The sequence below is a fragment of the Homo sapiens genome, chromosome 10, assembly GCF_000001405.40.
Source record: "Homo sapiens chromosome 10, GRCh38.p14 Primary Assembly".
In the NCBI taxonomy this organism is placed as follows: Eukaryota; Metazoa; Chordata; class Mammalia; order Primates; family Hominidae; genus Homo; species Homo sapiens.
In genome coordinates, this window is record NC_000010.11 from 95,603,761 (window position 1) to 95,622,167 (window position 18,407).

At 45.1% G+C, this 18,407-nt stretch overlaps 1 protein-coding gene across 10 annotated transcripts in view, besides 2 other annotated features; it reads right to left on the reverse strand.

Moving 5' to 3' along the window:
* ALDH18A1 (aldehyde dehydrogenase 18 family member A1) overlaps positions 2,181-18,407 on the reverse strand; it is a 50,771-nt gene continuing 34,544 nt past the window's right edge. For all 10 annotated transcript variants that reach the window (NM_001323419.2, NM_001323412.2, NM_001323417.2 and 7 more), the window contains 7 exons: positions 17,271-17,491; positions 12,717-12,854; positions 10,206-10,401; positions 9,982-10,103; positions 7,496-7,682; positions 6,437-6,532; positions 2,181-3,183 (listed from right to left, as the gene is read on the reverse strand). In NM_001323419.2, coding sequence (NP_001310348.1) covers positions 3,002-3,183; positions 6,437-6,532; positions 7,496-7,682; positions 9,982-10,103; positions 10,206-10,401; positions 12,717-12,854; positions 17,271-17,491 — 1,142 coding nt within the window. In that variant the 3' untranslated portion in view covers positions 2,181-3,001. The remainder of the gene's footprint in view (positions 3,184-6,436; positions 6,533-7,495; positions 7,683-9,981; positions 10,104-10,205; positions 10,402-12,716; positions 12,855-17,270; positions 17,492-18,407) is intronic.
* Positions 9,592-9,886: an enhancer, noted in NCBI's record as "tiled region #3716; HepG2 Activating DNase matched - State 14:Gen5'". NCBI's record gives its function as "activates a minimal TATA promoter and a strong SV40 promoter by Sharpr-MPRA in HepG2 cells {active_cell/tissue: HepG2}" and the evidence as "EXISTENCE:reporter gene assay evidence [ECO:0000049][PMID:27701403]".
* Positions 9,592-9,886: a silencer, noted in NCBI's record as "tiled region #3716; K562 Repressive non-DNase unmatched - State 15:Elon". NCBI's record gives its function as "represses a minimal TATA promoter and a strong SV40 promoter by Sharpr-MPRA in K562 cells {active_cell/tissue: K562}" and the evidence as "EXISTENCE:reporter gene assay evidence [ECO:0000049][PMID:27701403]".

The window sequence follows — 18,407 nt, forward strand, 5'->3', positions numbered from 1 at the left end:
AAAGAGTCTGGGTTCCTAATGGCATCACAGAGTTGCCCCGTTGGTCTTGAGCTACTTCTGGACTTCTCATTATGGAAGAAAAACAAAACTCTCAGGTTACTTACAGTAGTGGTAATGCTGAGATAAATCATATAAGGGGCTAAAAATTCCAATTCTTTGCCCCACCCTCAGAAATTTTGGCTCAGCAGGTCTGGGTGCGGGAATCTACAGTTTTAGCTAGGCCCTGTGGTCATTCTGTTACAATGATCCTTGAACCACAGTTTGAAGTAGTCTGAGGCCCACATATACAGCAAATAGCAGAGGGGTGTGTGTGTGTGTGTGTGTGAAGAGCGGGTCAGTGATGTTGGGTTTTGCTTTCAATGCCTACCAAAGACTTGGCCAGCTGTGGATGTCAGATATAAAAAACACCTTGTTCAGCTAATTTGCAATTTAGTGATAAAGAGCTTCCCACACCTCCATCTAACTAGAAAGCTTATCCAAGCTCCCATTTCATGAGTGTGGAAACTGAGGCAAAAATGTTTAAGTAGTTACCCAAGGTCACAATGCCAGTCAGTGACAGAGCTGGAAAAAAAATTCTGGAGTCCCAGTTCAGTGCTCCCTCCATTACACTGGGCTGCAAATAGCACCATGAAACTTTAGTGTCTGCTCACCTCTCCCTCCCATTTCCTCTGTCAGGCAGTGCAGTGGGACATTGTGGCTACCTCTCTGGCCGCCATCCCAGCCCTCTTTTATTCCCCAGCAGCCCTACTGTTTAGGTGAATGAATCCTGCTCTCAGCTCCATGAATCAATTAGGATAATCTTCTTCCCCTATCCGATTTTCCTCCTCCCTTACCAATAGAACCCTTACTTTCTTGGAGCTGCAATGTGCCCAAATAAAAAAGCTACACCTCCCAGATCCCTTTTAGAGAGGGTAGGCCATGAGCTAGTTTTGGTCAAGCACTGGGCAGGGGGGTCTTCCTGGAATGTCACTTAGAAGGGGCAGCTGGCAGACACTCCTCTGCCTATGGTTTTTCCTTCTTCCTGCTGGCTGGAATGCAGTCCTGATGGTTGGAATGCCACTACCATGTGGACAAGAGCCTTACCCTAGGACAGAAGAGAATAAATCAAAAGCAGCCCCAGTGCCTGATGGCCTTCATGGAGGCATTAAGTCAGCCTTGAAGCTGCCTACCTCCAGAGCTCTTTTTACATGAGAGAAACAGGAATGATCAAGTTCAAGCCCCAATTCTTTGAAGTTTCTGTGGCATGCAGTTCAACTCAATGTGTGCATTTATAGCAATGATTGATGCAGGCCAGTTTAATGAGTGAAGCTTGGGGTTTCTGTCTGATGATGATAGTGGTCTTTCTCAGGGCCCAGATGCAGGCCTGCCTTCTCAGTGGTCTTCCCCAAGGGCCCCAGCTCTCTTGGGCTGCCTTCTATTTAAGATTCCTGGGCATTTGTTGTCTGGTTGGGAGCTCATTGTGGTATTTGTGACAGTTTCAGGCAGGACTGTTTATAGCCTTTTCAGGCAAGCTATGCCAGAACTCCTCATCCAGAGGGCAGGGCAGTCAGGGTGACTTGCCAGACCATGTAAGGGTCTGGAGGAGAGGCAGGCTGTGCAGCCAGCCTGGGAACATGTTCCACATGACACCATCATTCTTGTGCTGGTAAAACATCCTCAGAGGAAAAGCAGCAGCATCGTAAGCGAGTGCTTATTTCTTTAGGAGGCCCCCATGAAATCTTTCAACTGCAGACTGTCAGGCACCAGGGGCCCTAAGGACAGGAGCTAGAGATGGAGGGAGAGTGGGGAGGGTCCGAGCTGTCAAGTGATCCTGAGGCAACAGGACTGGCAGGGAGGAGCTGGGGGGATGCAGTGAACTAAGGATGTCAGCTGGGGCTATGTGCCACCGCGGGAGCTCGCTCAGGTTGGACCCCACCAACTTCAGACCTTCACTGCACTTTTAGTCTTCAAGCTCTTGGGGCTTAATCTCCTGTTTTCCTTTCCTGTCTCTCCGTCTGAGTCCCTCTGTGGGGACTGCCTATGTTGCTTCCACCAACAAACACTGTTGAGGCAGATGTCTTGTCTCCCCAGACAGCTTCCAGAGAAGAGACCATGCCCACAAGCAGGGCACGAGGGTCACAAGAGAGGAAAAGGAAGGGGGTAACAACAATTAAGGGAGAAAACTTCAATCACGCACAGGCTTTTCATAAAAAACTTTATTTCTCAAAAAAGGGGGAAGAATCCAAAGTATTAAAATAATCCTCTAATTTTTGTTTTGGAGGAAAAGGGTAGGACGACAAAATAATTCATACAAAAATTTCAAGCATCACTGCTGTAGATATTCCTCCAGCTCAGTGGGGAACATCCTGAAACTTGCATCTCCTGCTGCAGCTTGGGTTCCAGCTGCATCACGGGGAACACAGCATCTCCTGGATGCAGGAAGCTGCAAGCATCTGGAATGCTTATTAATTTACCCCACAAATAAATACAAAAGGTCAATCTTCCCAGTGGAAATGATTCCATCGATTTTTGTGACTTTCTGATGAGAATGCTAAAAAGAAGAGTTGCCCCTTTTCTAAAATTCCAAATCTTTCCTTTTTGAAGATGACTACATGTGAAAGAAATAAAATGTGAAAAGATTTGTTAAGGATGACTGGCTCTAGTACCAACTAAATGCCAAGGGGGACTGTAAGTCACTGAGGTGACACAAAGCAGCCATGGGTTTTCCTCGCCTTTTTTATGGGGAAAATGCACCTTTCAATCCTAGAAGATAATTGGACTTGGCAAAGTCCCTATCGGTAGCAACTATTTTCTTACTTTAAAAAAAAAGGGTGAGCTGGGAGCCAGACTGTGCACATCAGCCAAGACTGCTATTGCCAAACGGAGCCCAGAAGCATCCAGGTACACTTTCCAACAGGCAGACCCTACCAGGAACTGGGAGACAAGAGCGGGCTCTCTCCTGAGATAAGACAAGTTTAACGTGAAGACCTTTTGGAAAATTCCCGGGTTTTCCTGGCTCTTTTCAGTTGGTGTTTCTCTGAGGAATAGGGAGGTTCTCATGAAGATATTTTAAACTTCCATGCTCTGAGAAATCTGAGACCACGTGGTCCTTCCCTCGCAGCAGCCACTTAGTAGTAAGCAGTCCCTCAAGTCCTACTGGTCCCCGGGCGTGGATTCTCGATGTACTGATTCCCACTTCAGCTCCTGTGAAAAAGCATGAATAAAAGATGTAGCTTTTCCCAGCCTCTGCTTCCTGTCCATGCCCCAGACCCACCCTGCTGCTTTCCCCTCACTTGGTACCCTCTCTTCCTGCTAACTCCTCATCCATCCTCCCCAGAAGAGCTGAGTCACCCTGTTCCCATAAACATGTTCTTCGATTACTACAAATCATGATACACTCCTTCTCGTGAAACAGTGTGTGGACTCTTCTTCTGTATTTTATCCCCAGTGCATTTTGACAATGCTATTAATACAAGTGCTGTCTCTTTTATCAGTTTAGCATCTGAATTGCATACCATATTTTGACATTTGGGCATGTTTTGAGGGGTACGACAATGTTTACCATGATGGTTTCACCTCCTCAAATACTCTTTAAATCTTAGAAAGAAAGGGACATGTTTGTGGTATCCCCTAGAAGTCTTAGCACAAGGGACTCATTAGACAGTTACTGAATACATCAAAGGGTTACTGTTCATTCCCTTTTCTCTTGCTCCCAGCTCAGACCTAGGGAACGTCAGGGGTTTTCCTGGCCCTGGCTTGGTGTTCTGCACTGTATACAGTGGAGGCAGGGTTCCCTCAATCATCACAACTTTACTGAGCATGTACTATGTACTAGGCACTGTGTTGAGCCCTGGGGATAAAGTGGTGAATAATAGATACAAGGCCCTGTTTTTGTGGCGCTGATATTATAGCAGGCGAGGCAGCCAAAGGACAGGTGAGTAAATAGTCTCCTGTGGTGCTCAAGTGCAGTGATGGGTGCTATGACAGAGGCTGTGTGGTGGAGCTGGGGACACGCTGGGTAGGATGGTCAGGGAAAGCCTCCCTAAGGAAGTGCCTTTTGGTTGGGACCTGAACAGTGAGAAGGAGCTGGCTGGAGAAAACCAGACAGAGGTGCTGCAGGCAGAGAGAAGAGCAAGTACGAGACACAGTAGGGGCGGGATGTGCTTGGGGTAGTGGTTGGCAAGGAGAGTGAAACCAGCAGGATTCAAATTCTGGTTCAATAGCATACAGACCACATGACTTTGGACATACTACCTAACTTTATGTCTCATGCCTCAGTTTCTTCATCTGGAAAATGAGAATTCATCTTGTAGAATGAAGTGAGAGCATGCTTGCGACACATTTAGCACAGTGCTGGGAATGTAGTAAATGCTCAGTAAAATCTGTTACTGTCATTAATGCATTTCACAAGGAATTTAACTCAACCAGCTTTCACTCTGAGCTGGTGTTGGAAGGACAATGAAATGATCTTTTGTTCTTCCTTCATCCTGGATTTTCATTTGAATGCTGGGTGCCCCAGCCCTTAAAAATATGTTGCTATTTCTTTTTCAAGTACATGGAGAGTATAAAGATCAATGCAAGTGATGTGATAATTACATCAAAATCCCAACATAATACAAATGGGGAACTAAAAATAAAGAGTATCATGATTAAGAATAACTGAGTTAAATTCCCTTTCATAACCTTTTAACAATTTGGTGAGAATTATTTCTCCAGGCAGATCATCTACTCAAAAAGTTCAGAAGGATTAAAATGTGTGTCTTTCTGTTTTGTTTTGTTATACAGATAGGGCCTCACTCTCTCCCAGGCTGGAGTACAATGGCATCATCTTAGCTCACTGCAGCCTCGAACTCCTGGGCTCAAGGGATCCTCTTGCCTCAGCCTCCTGAGTAACTGGGACTACAGGCTCACGCCACCACACCTGGATAATTTTTTCATCTCTGTAGAGAGGAGGTCTCGCTGCGTTGCCCAGGCTGGTCTCGAACTCCCCGACTCATGAGATCCTCCTGCTTCAGCCTCTCAAAGTGCCGGGATTACAGGTGTGAGCCACTGCCCGTGGCCTAAAATGTTTTGAGTGGTTGAAATAATTCTCAAATATTCAGAAAACGTGTCATAAATGTATTATTGGAGGTTTTTTGTCTGTTTTGTTTTTTGAGATGGAGTTTAGCTCTTGTTGCCCAGGCTAGAGCGCAATGGTGCGGTCTCGGCTCACTGCAACCTCTGCCTCCCAGGTTCAAGCGATTCTCCTGCCTCAGCCTCCCGAGTAGCTGGGATTACAGGCAAGTGCCACCATGCTCAGCTAATTTTGTATTTTTAGTAGAGATGGGGTTTCTCTATGTTGGTCACGCTGATCTCCAACTCCCGGCCTCAGGTGATCTGCCCGCCTTGGCCTCCCAAAGTGCTGGAATTATAGGCGTGAGCCACTGCGCCCGTTCTGGAGTTTTATATACTGGTACCCCTGAAAACGAGAGACTGTCCAAATAACCCCAACACGACAGAGGGCTGGAAATTTTATACCTAATGGAAAGGGACAGAAGTGCCCTTCTGAAGCTTTTTATTTCAAGGTCTGCTGTAGAAGGTAACCTTGTACTTCTGGCTGGCCTGTTTGTTTTGATGCTGGTACTTAGGCCCACGGCACCTTCTTTTGTCCTACCATTGTGGGGTTTCCTATCTCCGAGGCAACCTGGCTGTGCCATTTTGACGAAATAAGTCTGTAAAAGGAGTGCTCTCAAGGGACACAGCATGTACCTCTGGCGCAGCCTGTGTAAAAAGGCAGGCTGTGGTTGCCCACGCTGTAGCGGGAGAACCCAGGCTTTGGACTTGCTCAAGTTTGGGTCTGAATGCCAGCTGTGGGACTTTGGGCAAGTTACTATACTTCTCTGAATCTCATTCTCCCTCTTTGAAAAATGAATACAAGTACCTGCCTTCTTAGCATGTGAAATGCTTAGAAGATAGGCCTTCCACCAACTCATGGGAGGTTTCATTAATTATTCTCCCTGATAATCCTACCTTGCCAGAAGTCTGTCTCTATTTTTTTTTTTTTTTTGAGATGGTGTCTCACTCTGTCCTCCAGGCTGGAGTGCTGTAGCGTAATCTCGGGCTCACCGCAACCTCTGCCTCCCGGGTTCAAGCAATTCTCCTGCCTCAGCCTCCTGAGTAGCTGGGATTACAGGCATGCACCACCACACCTGGCTAATTTTTTGCATTTTTAGTAGAGACAGGGTTTCACCATGTTGGCCACGCTGGTCTCGAACTCCTGACCTCAGGTGATCCACCCACCTCGGCCTCCCAAAGTGCTGGGATTACAGGCGTGAGCCACGGCACCCAGCCTGTTTCTCTCTTATCTTGACCAAGCATGTGACAGTCAAGGGGAGGTGTCTTTCCCACCTCAACATACCCCTAGACCACACAGTGCTTCACAAGGAACTTCTTTCTTCCCAACCAGAGTCTTTCTTACCCAGTCCAAAGCGGTAACCATCAGAAAAGCGAGTGCTGGCATTCCAGAACACACAGGCACTGTCTACGTGCTGCAGGAAGAACTCCGCTGTGTTTTCTGCAGGGTGAAGAAGGAGAAACCAAGTTAGGATGATACCCAGAGAACATCCCTGTTTCCAGCCATTGACTGGTGACAGATCAGGGCAGGGTCTGGGTCCCCACTGGGGCCTCTCCATGTGTTCTCACGTATTAAATACTCAGGCTTATGAAAAATCTCAACAGGAAGAAGACAAGTTAGCTTCATCAATCACGGTGTTGTGGAAAGACTGAGTTGGAATCCAGATCTCCCATGCAGGTGACCTGCCTAAACTTCCTACTTATGGGCTCCAGAGCCAGACTTCCTAGGCCTGAACTCCAGCTGTACACCTGCTAGCTTTGTGACCTTCTGCAGGTGTACAAAACTCTCTGTGTCTGGGTCAAAAGGGACTTACAACATGACCTAGCTGATAGGGTTGTAGAGAGGATGAAACACCTGGGGAGTACTCATGCTAGTGCCTAGCACACAGTGAGTGCTTGGTAAATGTTGGCTGTTAATACGGGTGGTACTGCTCTGGTGCCCTAATTAGCTGACTGTAAATTCCTCATTGGGGCCCTACTGGCATCCTCCACCATTGAGGCTCCAGTATCTGACACCCAGGAGTGTCCCTGCATACATATTTGTGGAATAAATGAATGAATGAATGAATGTGCAGAGTTGGTTCTGCCTTGGTTTCCTCAGCTGTAAAATGGGTTTATTTTAACTACCTTGTAAGATTTGCTGCACGCATTAAATGATAGTGCCTCTGACAGGGTTAGTCATCTTCGAAGCAGAGCTAATCATCCCTGCCCCTCCTCCTCCAGCTGTGACAATATAATAAAGTGATGTGAAAGCACTCATCAAAGTACCAAATGCAACCACTACTAAACATTACCATAAGCCTACTCAAATGATGTTTTTCTGCAGCCCAAGGGGGGCTAAGAGGAGCAGGATCAGAAAGCAGCAAAGGCAGACACTGTATGCGGGAAGCATCTGGACACTGACCGTCCTCTGTGACGATGACATCCGTGTGGGAGCTGCCATACTTGTGGATGTGGTCAATGGCATCCTGAACGTTGTCCACTACTTCAATGCATAATTCCAGGTCCCCATACTCAGTTCGGAGTGACTTCACTTCGGAGGGGCTGAAGGTCAGATAGGAGGCAAATTTGGGGCCTGCATGAATTTTTACCTGGAACAGAGGAAGTCCAGGGGCAACAACATAAAAACAACTGAAATAAGCAAGTTCTAGGATAGAACAGAAAGGTGAGCCTGTAAAACCACAGCCCAAAGTGGCTCCTGTAGCCTCAACAACTGAACTAGTCCTACTTTCCTCCCTCCAGCATGATCTGACTGGCCACTTGCCAGCAATGGGCCCTCAAGACAGTTGGAACAGGGATTGAAGCAGGAAGCCTTGAACGTTAAGGATGTGCAAGGTGGGCCGGGCATGGTGGCTCACGCCTGTAATCCCAGTACTTTGGGAGGCTGAGACGGGTGGATAACTTGAGGTCAGGAGTTCAAAAACCAACCTGGCCAACATGGTGAAACCCCGTCTTTACTAAAAAAATTAGCAGGGCATGGTGGCAGGTGCCTGTAATCTCAGCTACTTGGGAGGTTCAAGCAGGAGGAGAACTGCTTGAACCTGGAAGGCAGAGGTTGCAGTGAGCCAAGATTGTGCCACTGCACTCCAGCCTGGGGCACAGAGCAAGACTCCGTCTCAAAGAAAAAAAAAAGAATAAAAAAGAATGTGCAAGGCGTTTAGTGGGTTATCAACACAAGGGCTTGACTTCTGGCATTTTCCTAAAATGAATACTTGACAATAAAGATCCCAGTTCCTGCATATGGTACCTAGGCACTAGACTCGTGTGGAAAAAGGGAGGTGCCACATATACATTGCTACTCCCTGTACCCTAGCGAAGTCCCAGGTTTGCTTTAGAGGTAAGCAGTACTTGGTCAGGTGCTTTCAGCACCTGAAACTGTGGCTACTCATTTGATTTCCAACTGCGTCAGTCTGGCCCCACCTCTAGGTTCAGCTCAGCCCCAGGCTCTGGCTCTAATCCTGCTGCTGGTTAGAGGAATTTAAGGATTCTGAGGCTGGTCACCGAGGATCCCAATCACAAGCTGGATCCCACTTAAACCTTGTTTTCTGAGACATCCCCAGGACAGGGTTCATGCCTTGATTCTTTGGGATCAAGCTTTTGCCTTGGCTCAAGTTATAAGTGGTGTCTGCCTTATCCTCATGATTCCCGAGGCCCTGCCATTGTTTCTTATCTGGGATCTCACTTCTTCTGTGTTCCTTGGGGACTGGAACCCCATCCCTGTGCAAGTCATCCTTCTAGCTTTACTTTCTGCCATCCAAAAGTGCTGTATGAAGTACACACAGTGACTCATTTTGATTTGGAATTTCAAGGCCATCCTCATTTTAATGACTGAGGATACCACTTGTGTGTTCAAATTAGGTCTGGGGAGGGATTTAGTCCTGGCTAAAGGAGAGCTTTCCTCCTGTCTAATCCAGTTCACTGTGGTGCTTGGCAAACACAGGTGCCCAATCAACAGGCTTCCTTACCAAAGTAAAGTAAGGTCCCCGAACATGAATGACCATGTGATCTAACTTCCTTGTAATCCATGGAGTACAGTTTCATTTTTAAAACAATTCTTTCCAGTTCTCACTGGGACCATGCCACATTTATAAGCTAACTGGAGCCTTCCTTTCCAGTCAAAGGATGGAAGGGAAGAGACATATGTTCAGAGTCAAAGCAACCAAGGCCAACAAGCACCTTCTCTACTGCCATGCTGGTTTATATAACTCTGAAAGTGTACTATGACATCAGAAATTAAAGCTTAAAATGCATCCATGCAGAGAGTTTAACAGATTGTCCATTTTTGCCTTGAGGGCATCTATTATATTTTCTTGCAGGCATGAATTTAGGACACAGCACAACTTTATATTTGAAACTTACTGGCTTTTGGTTTGTTTACAACCTTAACAATATAGTAAAAACATAATCCAGGGAGACATTCTACAAATTACTGAATCCCAAATATCACTGCATTAAGTACACTAATATTGGTAACCAAAGACACTGGGGGGAGGCAGTGAATGTACATAAGTTTTTGGTTTGAAACGTTTCTGCACCATCTTTTCAAATCAAATCCAAAAAATAATATATGCTTGGGAACACCTTGCATATATAAGGTTGCCAGAAACAGTTCAGTCAGCATAGTGCCATGTGGTCTGTCTTACCTTTGAACCCTCTTTAGCACACAACACATTCCACTTTGTAATAAAGCTATTTGTGTATTGGTTTGGTTCGACTACTAGAGGGCAGGGGTTGTGTTTTACTCACACTTTACTTAGCATGGAACTTTGTACACAGAAGATATTAAAAAATATTGTTTCTTAAACTGCCTTATATGGTATGGCTGTGCCTGGTCTAATTCCACAGGCTTCTAAGACAGGAAGTAATGTACTAGTCCTATGGAACTCTTACCTGTTCCACTCTCAGCATATCAATGATCTGGTCAAATAATGGTGTCCTGAGCAGATCCCGGTGGATTAACAAAGTCTCCAAAGCATTACAGGCAGCTGGATATTCACATTTAGAGTCTCTGACTGAAAGAAGATGAGCAAAGAATTGTTTCCATTGACATGATCCAGAGCTGCAGAGGATGTAATATTTCTCCGTTGTGAAAGAGAAGACCCCATCCAGCTCACCTAGCCTGGTGACCTTATCAACACTGGCCTCGGAATCCACATACATGTGACAGATCCCTTCGCTGTGCCCCATCACTGGAATCCCCTTAGCAGCTTTCTGGATGTCTCTGACCAGCTGGGAAGAGCCACGTGGAATGATCAGATCTATCATTTTGTCTAGGCGGCAAAGATCTTCAACTTCTTCTCTGGTATTCACCTTTAGAAGGAAAGAAGAAAAAGATAAAGATGACATCTGACCACACAAAATATAAAAACAGCAGCTTCCCTTTTACAGATAAACATCTGTACACTCTGAGAACTAAGTGAGACACTGTGAAAACTTATTCTAAAAACAAAATTAAGTTCCCGATCATGGGAATCAAAAAGTTGTCCAGCAAATGCTTATCAAACACTATATACTCGGTGCTGTGCTCCACATCACATATCACGCAGGACACTGCATGCCGTCAAAGAGCTCAGCATCAAGTAGGGAAGGCAGCACTAGGGTACTGCTAGCCATAATACAGGGCAGACAATTTTTAAAATGCCAGAAGCAGCACAAAGGGGTATCTATGGAGGTTAAATGCAGTACACTACTCCAGGCCATGAAGATCACAAAAGGGAGTGGCTTCTCTGTTGGTTTTCTATTCACAGCATTGAGGAAATGTTGGGTTGGTCTTGCTAGGGAGTCATGGTTCTCATGACTTCTGATGGCAACTTCTACCCTGGGATGTGGATTAGAATGACTTAAAGAGCCTGTGAGAGGATACTGAGATTATGGGCATTTTGTTTTCTCTTGATTTTTAATTTTTCTCCACATGGTCATATTACTTTTATAACAAATATATATGTGTGCCAGAATGTTCACAGCAACTTTATTCCACATAGCCCAAAACTGGAAACAATCTAAATATTCATCAAGAGAAGAAAAGATGAACTGTAGTATATGCAGGTAAATGGAACACTACCCAGCAATTAAATGAGAAAACTACTGCTAGATGCAACAATGGGAATGAATGCCACAGACATAACGAACAAATGACAGGCAACATAAACGTGTGTTTTGTTTGATCTCATTTATATAAATTTCAAGAATAGGCAAAAGGCAGGGCGTGGTGGCACATTCCCAGCACTTTGGGAGGCTGAGGCAGGCAGATTGCCTGAGCTCAGGAGTTTGAGAGCAGCCTGGGCAACATGGTGAAACCCTGTCTCTACAAAAAACAAAAAATCCACAAAAGTTAGTCAGGTCTGGAGGCACACACCTGTAGTCCCAACTACTAGGAAAGCTGAGGTGGGTGGACTGCTTGAGCCTAGGAGGCTGAGGCTGCAGTGAGCCGAGAGCCAAGATTGTGCCACTGAATTCCAGTCTGGGCAACAGAGCAAGACCATGTCTCAAAAAAAAAAAAAAAGGCAAAAGTAATTTAATGTGACAGAAGTCAAAAAAGTAGTTTGTGGGGAAGGGGGCTACATATTGACTGGGAAGGGCACAAGGGGGCCCTCCAGGATGTTGGACTGTTCTGTATCTTGATACGGCTGGTGGTTATACATGTGTGTGTGTGAACAGTCGCAGAGTGGTTCACAGGATCTGTATACTTTACTGTACGTATGTTACACATCAATAGGAAGAAAAGGAGGGAGGGCACCTGTGTAAGCTAGGAAGTGGTGGGGCTGGGATTTGAATCCCTAAAATCTGCGCTCTTTCCAACCACTATGTGGGCATAAGAAAAAAACCAGATTCTGGTCACTGAGTGTGTAATGAGCAGGTTTGTAGACATCCTCCCAGTAGCCAACAGAATCCTGGAATGTTGGAGCAAATGAGCCAAAGAAAAAAAAGGATCTGGAGTCAGCCTAGGTCCAAATCTAAACTCTATCACACACCATGTGACTCTTGGGGAATTACTTTACCTCTGAATCTGTTTTTTCCCAATGTAGAAAATGAGTCTAATAATTAATGATATTTTCCTTATGGGACTGCTGTGACGATCAAATGAGTTAACGGATAAAATGAGCCTTGCACATAGTAGGTACTCAACAAGTAGTAGCTATTATTATCAAACTTCATTTGACAGTTGAGGAGAATGAGAAATGGTCAGTTAAAGTGATGACCTTAATAATAATAGTGATAACAGCATGATCTCATACTCAACACACCGCATGACAGTTTATGACAAACTTTTGTAAAGTTTCTCATCTGACTTACCCTAGATCACTCTGCCAATGACAGGAACCTAGGCCTCACACTCTAGTTCTGGTACTCCTGCTGCCTTGTGACCCAAAGAATGAAGGTCTAATTGACATTCTTGTAAATAAATAGTGCCAAGACGCAGCTGTAAGGGAGGGGCCTTCCTAAGCCACTGAGGACCCATCTGGCTCTGCAGAATGGCCTAAAGTCTGAAGGCTCACAGGCCTGCTGGAGTGTCAAGTCTGCTTGTAGTAGTGTCTTGGCTCTGTGTGGCCTAAGTTTTGCTTTAAATTCCCAAACACCTGATCTGGCCCCTCTGGGCCTGACTTGGTGCATTCCCAGGGACCTACCAGTTGCACGGCCTCCTTGACTCCATGGATTGAGAGAGCCTCCTGGGTCAGGAGGTGGAGAATCCGGTTGCTGTGTGCAGCCTCCTTCCCTCCTTTGAGTAACAAGCCATTGCCACTTGCGATAGCCAAAGCTGCCACCTGCAGATCAAAGGGAGAGCAGTGGATCAAAGGAGACAAACAGTAATAGCAACAGTGATGTTAGCATTCACAAGCACTCCTTCTGTGCTAAGCACTGTGTTCATCATTTTAGAAGGCCTATGCTGTTTCATCTTCACAACACTGCAGTGAATTAAGTGCCTGTTTTATCCCCTACTTTACAGATAAGGGCACTGAAGCCCAGAGAGGCTGATGACTCCCCGAAGTCACACAGCTTATAAATAACAGGGATGGGAGCCAGACTGAGGTGGTTTGACTCCAGAACAAACCACTGGATTTTAGCAACTAAACTATATGGCTTCCTTAGCACCATTAGCAAAGAGAACTGAGTTGGCCAGGTATGGTGGCTCACGCCTGTAATCTCAGCAATTTGGGAGGCTGAGGTGGGTGGATCACCTGAGGTCAGGAGTTCGATACCAGCCTGACCAACATGGTGAAACCCCATCTCTACTATAAATACAAAAATTAGCCGGGCATGGTGGCAGGTGCCTGTAGTCCCAGCTACCCAGGAGGCTGAGGCAAGAGACTTTCTTGAGCCTGGGAGGCGGAGGCTGCAGTCAGCCGAGATTGCACCACTTCACTCCAGCCTGGGCAACAGAGTGAGACTCCGTCGCAAACAAACAAATAAAGCAAAGAGAACTGAGTTAAGTGGCCAGGGCCACATGGCACCCCCCACCGTGGAGAACAGGGTCTTCAGCCACCTCTGTAAGGAAGCACTTGCTTCATCTGATCAGGCTGAGGCTGGGCAGCTCCTCTGGCCACATCCTACTCTGGCCTTGGAATTGTTCTGAGAGCTCTAAGTGCTTGGTGCTAAGAACCTGGAGAAGACCAGAGCTCCTGCCAGCCCCTGGGCAGCTGTGGTAGAGACTGCTGAGAACAGAGTCTTTTTCCCACATGCCTGTCTGGGGAGGAAAACGTAAACCATCCAGGAGGAGGGCTAGTTGCCTTGTTAGAGCAAAGAGTGAGTGACACTGACCTGATCATCCTACCTCTTACAAAAGTTAAGTAAACTTTCTCCAGACATAAACACACAGAATATTGCACACAATTTTTAGGATTCATGGATTCTGTGAAACCATCCAGGGCTGAGTCCAGATGAGGAGCCTTAGCTGTAGTTAGCTAATGAGGTATCAGCTCCTTGTGAGGTATCAGCTGGTATGGATGAGTGGTAGCAAAGAAATTTCACGGATACAGTCCACAGAGAGACTTAGGCCCATTTCTACTAGCAGAGGTGAGTCTGGCAGTCATCACTGGGGCATTTCTGCAAGACAGGTATGTGGCCAGAGAGGTAGTGTGCCAGCATCAGCCAGGGACTGAGGATAGGCCTCAGTGGTATGGGAGTCCCTTGGTGAACACACTGGTTTTAGGGGATGTCAGAGAGTACCCTTCACAGAGCATTCCAGATTCCACAGTCAACTATGTCTTATAGTAAAGAGGTGCTAGTTTTTTGTTTTTACAGTAGAATTTCCCTTTGAGACTTTGGGGCTAGTGCAAAGGAAGAGCTGGTATCCTATAGGACAGTCCAGTGGGGGAAATGCTCCCAGAATTCTGGGAGGCAGTTTAGGGTAATAAAGTGGGGCCACTCTCTAATGACACCTTGTATTTCCCAGCATGGCTGCTTGGCAAGAACTTTAACGCATGCTTTCTCAACCAGAGGCTGTGATATGTCAACTTGCTTAAAGAGGGTTGCATTCTTTTCTCTTTTTTGAGATGGTATCTCGCCCTGTTGCAAGGCTGGAATGCAGTGGCACGATCTCGACTCACTGCAACCTCTGCCTCCTGGGTTCAAGTGATTCCCCTGTCTCAGCCTCCTGAGTAGCTGGGACTACAGGTCCCACCATGCCAACTAATTTTGTATTTTTTAGTAGAGACAAGGTTTCACCATGTTGGCCAGGATGGTCTCAATCTCTTGACCTCGTGATTCACCTGCCTGGGCCTCCCAAAGTGCTGGGATTACAGGTGTCAGCCACTGTGCCTGGCCGACAGTTGCATTCTAATTTCCATTAACTACTGAAAGTTCTTTTTCCTAACAGATGTACTTATAGGAAGCCATCAGTGATACTGACAATAAAGGGGTCCTTTTCACATGGGCCAAGCCAGTTATTCATGAATGACAGCAGCAGGCTAACAGAGACTTGTGGTCAGAGAACAAAGTGAACCACAGGCTAAGATATTTGGAAATTTGCTCCTGCACTGTGGTATGGTAGGTTGATTTGGGTTCCAGTCCCAGTTGCACCTTACAGGTGTGACAGGAATATTACCTTCTATGAGGTTCAGTTTCTCCAGGTCTAAAATGGACATATGAACAACTACTTTAGGATACTGGAGGAATCAAGAACGTATATTACCTCAAGAACAACCTGAGAATAAAGTCTCAAAAATTATCTTTTTTTTGGTTAAAAGACCTTCACACACACACAATTGTCTTTGGGAAACCTATCTCCAGTATTGAAAATATATTCTTCAGGATACAAAATCAATGTGCAAAAATCACAAGCATTCCTATACATCAGTAACAGACAAACAGCCAAATCATGAGTGAACTCCCATTCACAATTGCTACAAAGAGAATAAAATACCTAGGAATCCAACTTACAAGGAATGTGAAGGACCTCTTCAAGGAGAACTACAAACCACTGCTCCACGAAATAAAAGAGGACACAAACAAATGGAAGAACATTCCATGCTCATGGATAGGAAGAATCAATATCATGAAAATGGCCATACTGCCCAAGGTAATTTATAGATTCGATGCCATCCCCATCAAGCTACCAATGACTTTCTTCACAGAATTGGAAAAACTACTTTAAAGTTCATACAGAACCAAAAAAGAGCCCGCATTGCCAAGACAATCCTAAGCAAAAAGAACAAAGCTGGAGGCATCATGCTACCTGACTTCAAACTACACTACAAGGCTACAGTAACCAAAACAGCATGGTACTGGTACCAAAACAGAGAGATAGACCAATGGAACAGAACAGAGGCCTAAGAAATAACACCACACATCTACAACCATCTGATTTTTGACAAACCTGACAAAAACAAGAAATGGGGAAAGGATTCCCTATTTAATAAATGGTGCTGGGAAAACTGGCTAGCCATATGTAGAGAGCTGAAACTGGATCCCTTCCTTACACCTTATACAAAAATTAATTCAAGATGGATTAAAAACTTAAATGTTAGACCTAAAACCATAAAAACCCTAGAAGAAAACCTAGGCAATATCATTCAGGACATAGGCATGGGCAAGGACTTCATGACTAAAACACCAAAAGCAATGACAGCAAAAGCCAAAATAGACAAATGGGATCTAATTAAACTAAAGAGCTTCTGCATGGCAAAAGAAACTACCATGAGAGTGAACAGGCAACCTACAGAATGGAGAAAATTTTTGCAATCTACCTATTTGACAAAGGGCTAATATCCAGAATCTTCAAATAACTCAAACAAATTTACGAGAAAAAAACAACCCCATCAAAAAGTGTGCAAAGGATATGAACAGACACTTCTCAAAAGAAGACATTTATGCAGCCAACAGACACATGAAAAAATGTTCATCGTCACTGGTCATCAGAGAAATGCAAATCAAAACCACAATGAGATACCATCTCATGCCTGTTAGAATGGCATTCATTAAAAAGTCAGGAAACAAGATGCTGGAGAGGATGTGGAGAAACAGGAACACTTTTACACTGTTGGTGGGAGTGTAAACTAGTTCAACCATTGTGGAAGACAGTGTGGCAATTCCTCAAGGATCTAGAACTAGAAATACGATTTGACCCAGCCATCCCATTACTGGGTATATACCCAAAGGATTATAAATCATGCTACTGTAAAGACACATGCACACGTATGTTTATTGTGGCACTATTCACAATAGCAAAGACTTGGAACCAACCCAAACGTCCATCAATGATAGACTGGATTAAGAAAACGTGGCACATATACACCATGGAATACTATGCAGCCATAAAAAAGGGTAAGTTCATGTCCTTTGCAGGGACATGGATGAAGCTGCATGATTCTCTTGAGAGAATCTCAGCAAACTCTCACAAGCACAGAAAACCAAACAATGCATGTTCTCACTCGTAGGTGGGAACTGAACAATGAGAACACTTGGACACAGGGTGGGGAACATCACACACTGGGGCCTGTCGGGGGGTGGGGGACTGGGGGAGGGATAGCATTAGGAGAAATAACTAATGTAAATGACGAGTTGATGGGTGCAGCAAACCAATATGGCACATGTATACCTATGTAACAAACCTGCACGTTGTGCACATGTACCCTAGAACTTAAATTAAAAAAAAAAAAAAAGAAAAGAAAATATATTCTTCCTCCAATATCCACACCAGCCCCCAATGGCAGGGTATTTATTCTCCCGGGGTATATACACACCTGGGGTAGACAGTCAGGACGAGATTCAAAGATCACCAGCAGAACTCCAATTGGGACAGTCACTTGTTCCAGTTCCAAGTTTTTGGCGATTCGGGTGCGGCGCAAAACACGTCCCACGCTGTCCTGGGAGGAGGCTGCGATCTGTCGCAGACCGATGGCCAGGCTGTTCAATTTGGATGTGGAGAGGCTTAAACGTTTCAGCAGAGGAGCTGCAAGTCTCCCTGAAAAGCCATTAAGAGGATATGATAAAGTAGCAGACCTGGCAGGCTACAGCTACCAACCGATGTGTCTTTTTTTTTTTTTTTTTGAGACAGGGTCTCACTCTGACGCCCAGGCTGGAGTGCAGTGGCATGATCTAGGCCCAATGCAACCTCTGCCTCCTGGGTTCAAGCGATTCTCCCACCTCAGCCTCCTTAGTAGCTGGGACTACAGGCATGCACCACCAGGCCTGGCTTATTTTTGTAGAGATGGGGGTTTCACCAGGTTGGCCAGGTTGATCTCGAACTCCTCAACTCAAGTGATCCACCTGCCTCGACCTCCCAAAGTGCTGGGATTACAAGTGCGAGCCACCGTGCCTGGCCCAACTGATGTGTCTTGATGTTTTACTGAACATGTGGGACTGCATTAGGAACAGACTTGGGAAGACAATGACATGCCACTTAAACTGTCTTTCTTGGGGGTCCATTTGGTAGTACATAGCATCATGTAAAGCTGTGTACCCTGATACCCTTTGTCCCAGCAATTTCAGTTCCAGAAATTTATCATTTGTATGAACAGAAAGGCATGTAATAAGGATACTTAGCATGGCATTTTTGTAATGCTGAGAAATTGAATTCTACCTAAATATTCAGACAATGGTTTATAATTCAGTTATTATAAATAATATATCTAGGTTCACTGACATGGAGAGCTGTCTAGGATATAGTCTACGAAAAAGGCAAACTATAAAACAGCATGTATGATATGATCTTATTTATCAAACACTGCACATATATGTGTGCACGGGAAGAAATCTGGAACGCATCCAGAATAGTAATAATCTATCTTTCTATTTTTTTTATAATGAGTGAATTATTTTTATAATCAGAACCAACAAAGATGTTTTCTTCTAAAATAAAATGTTAAATATTTTGGGAA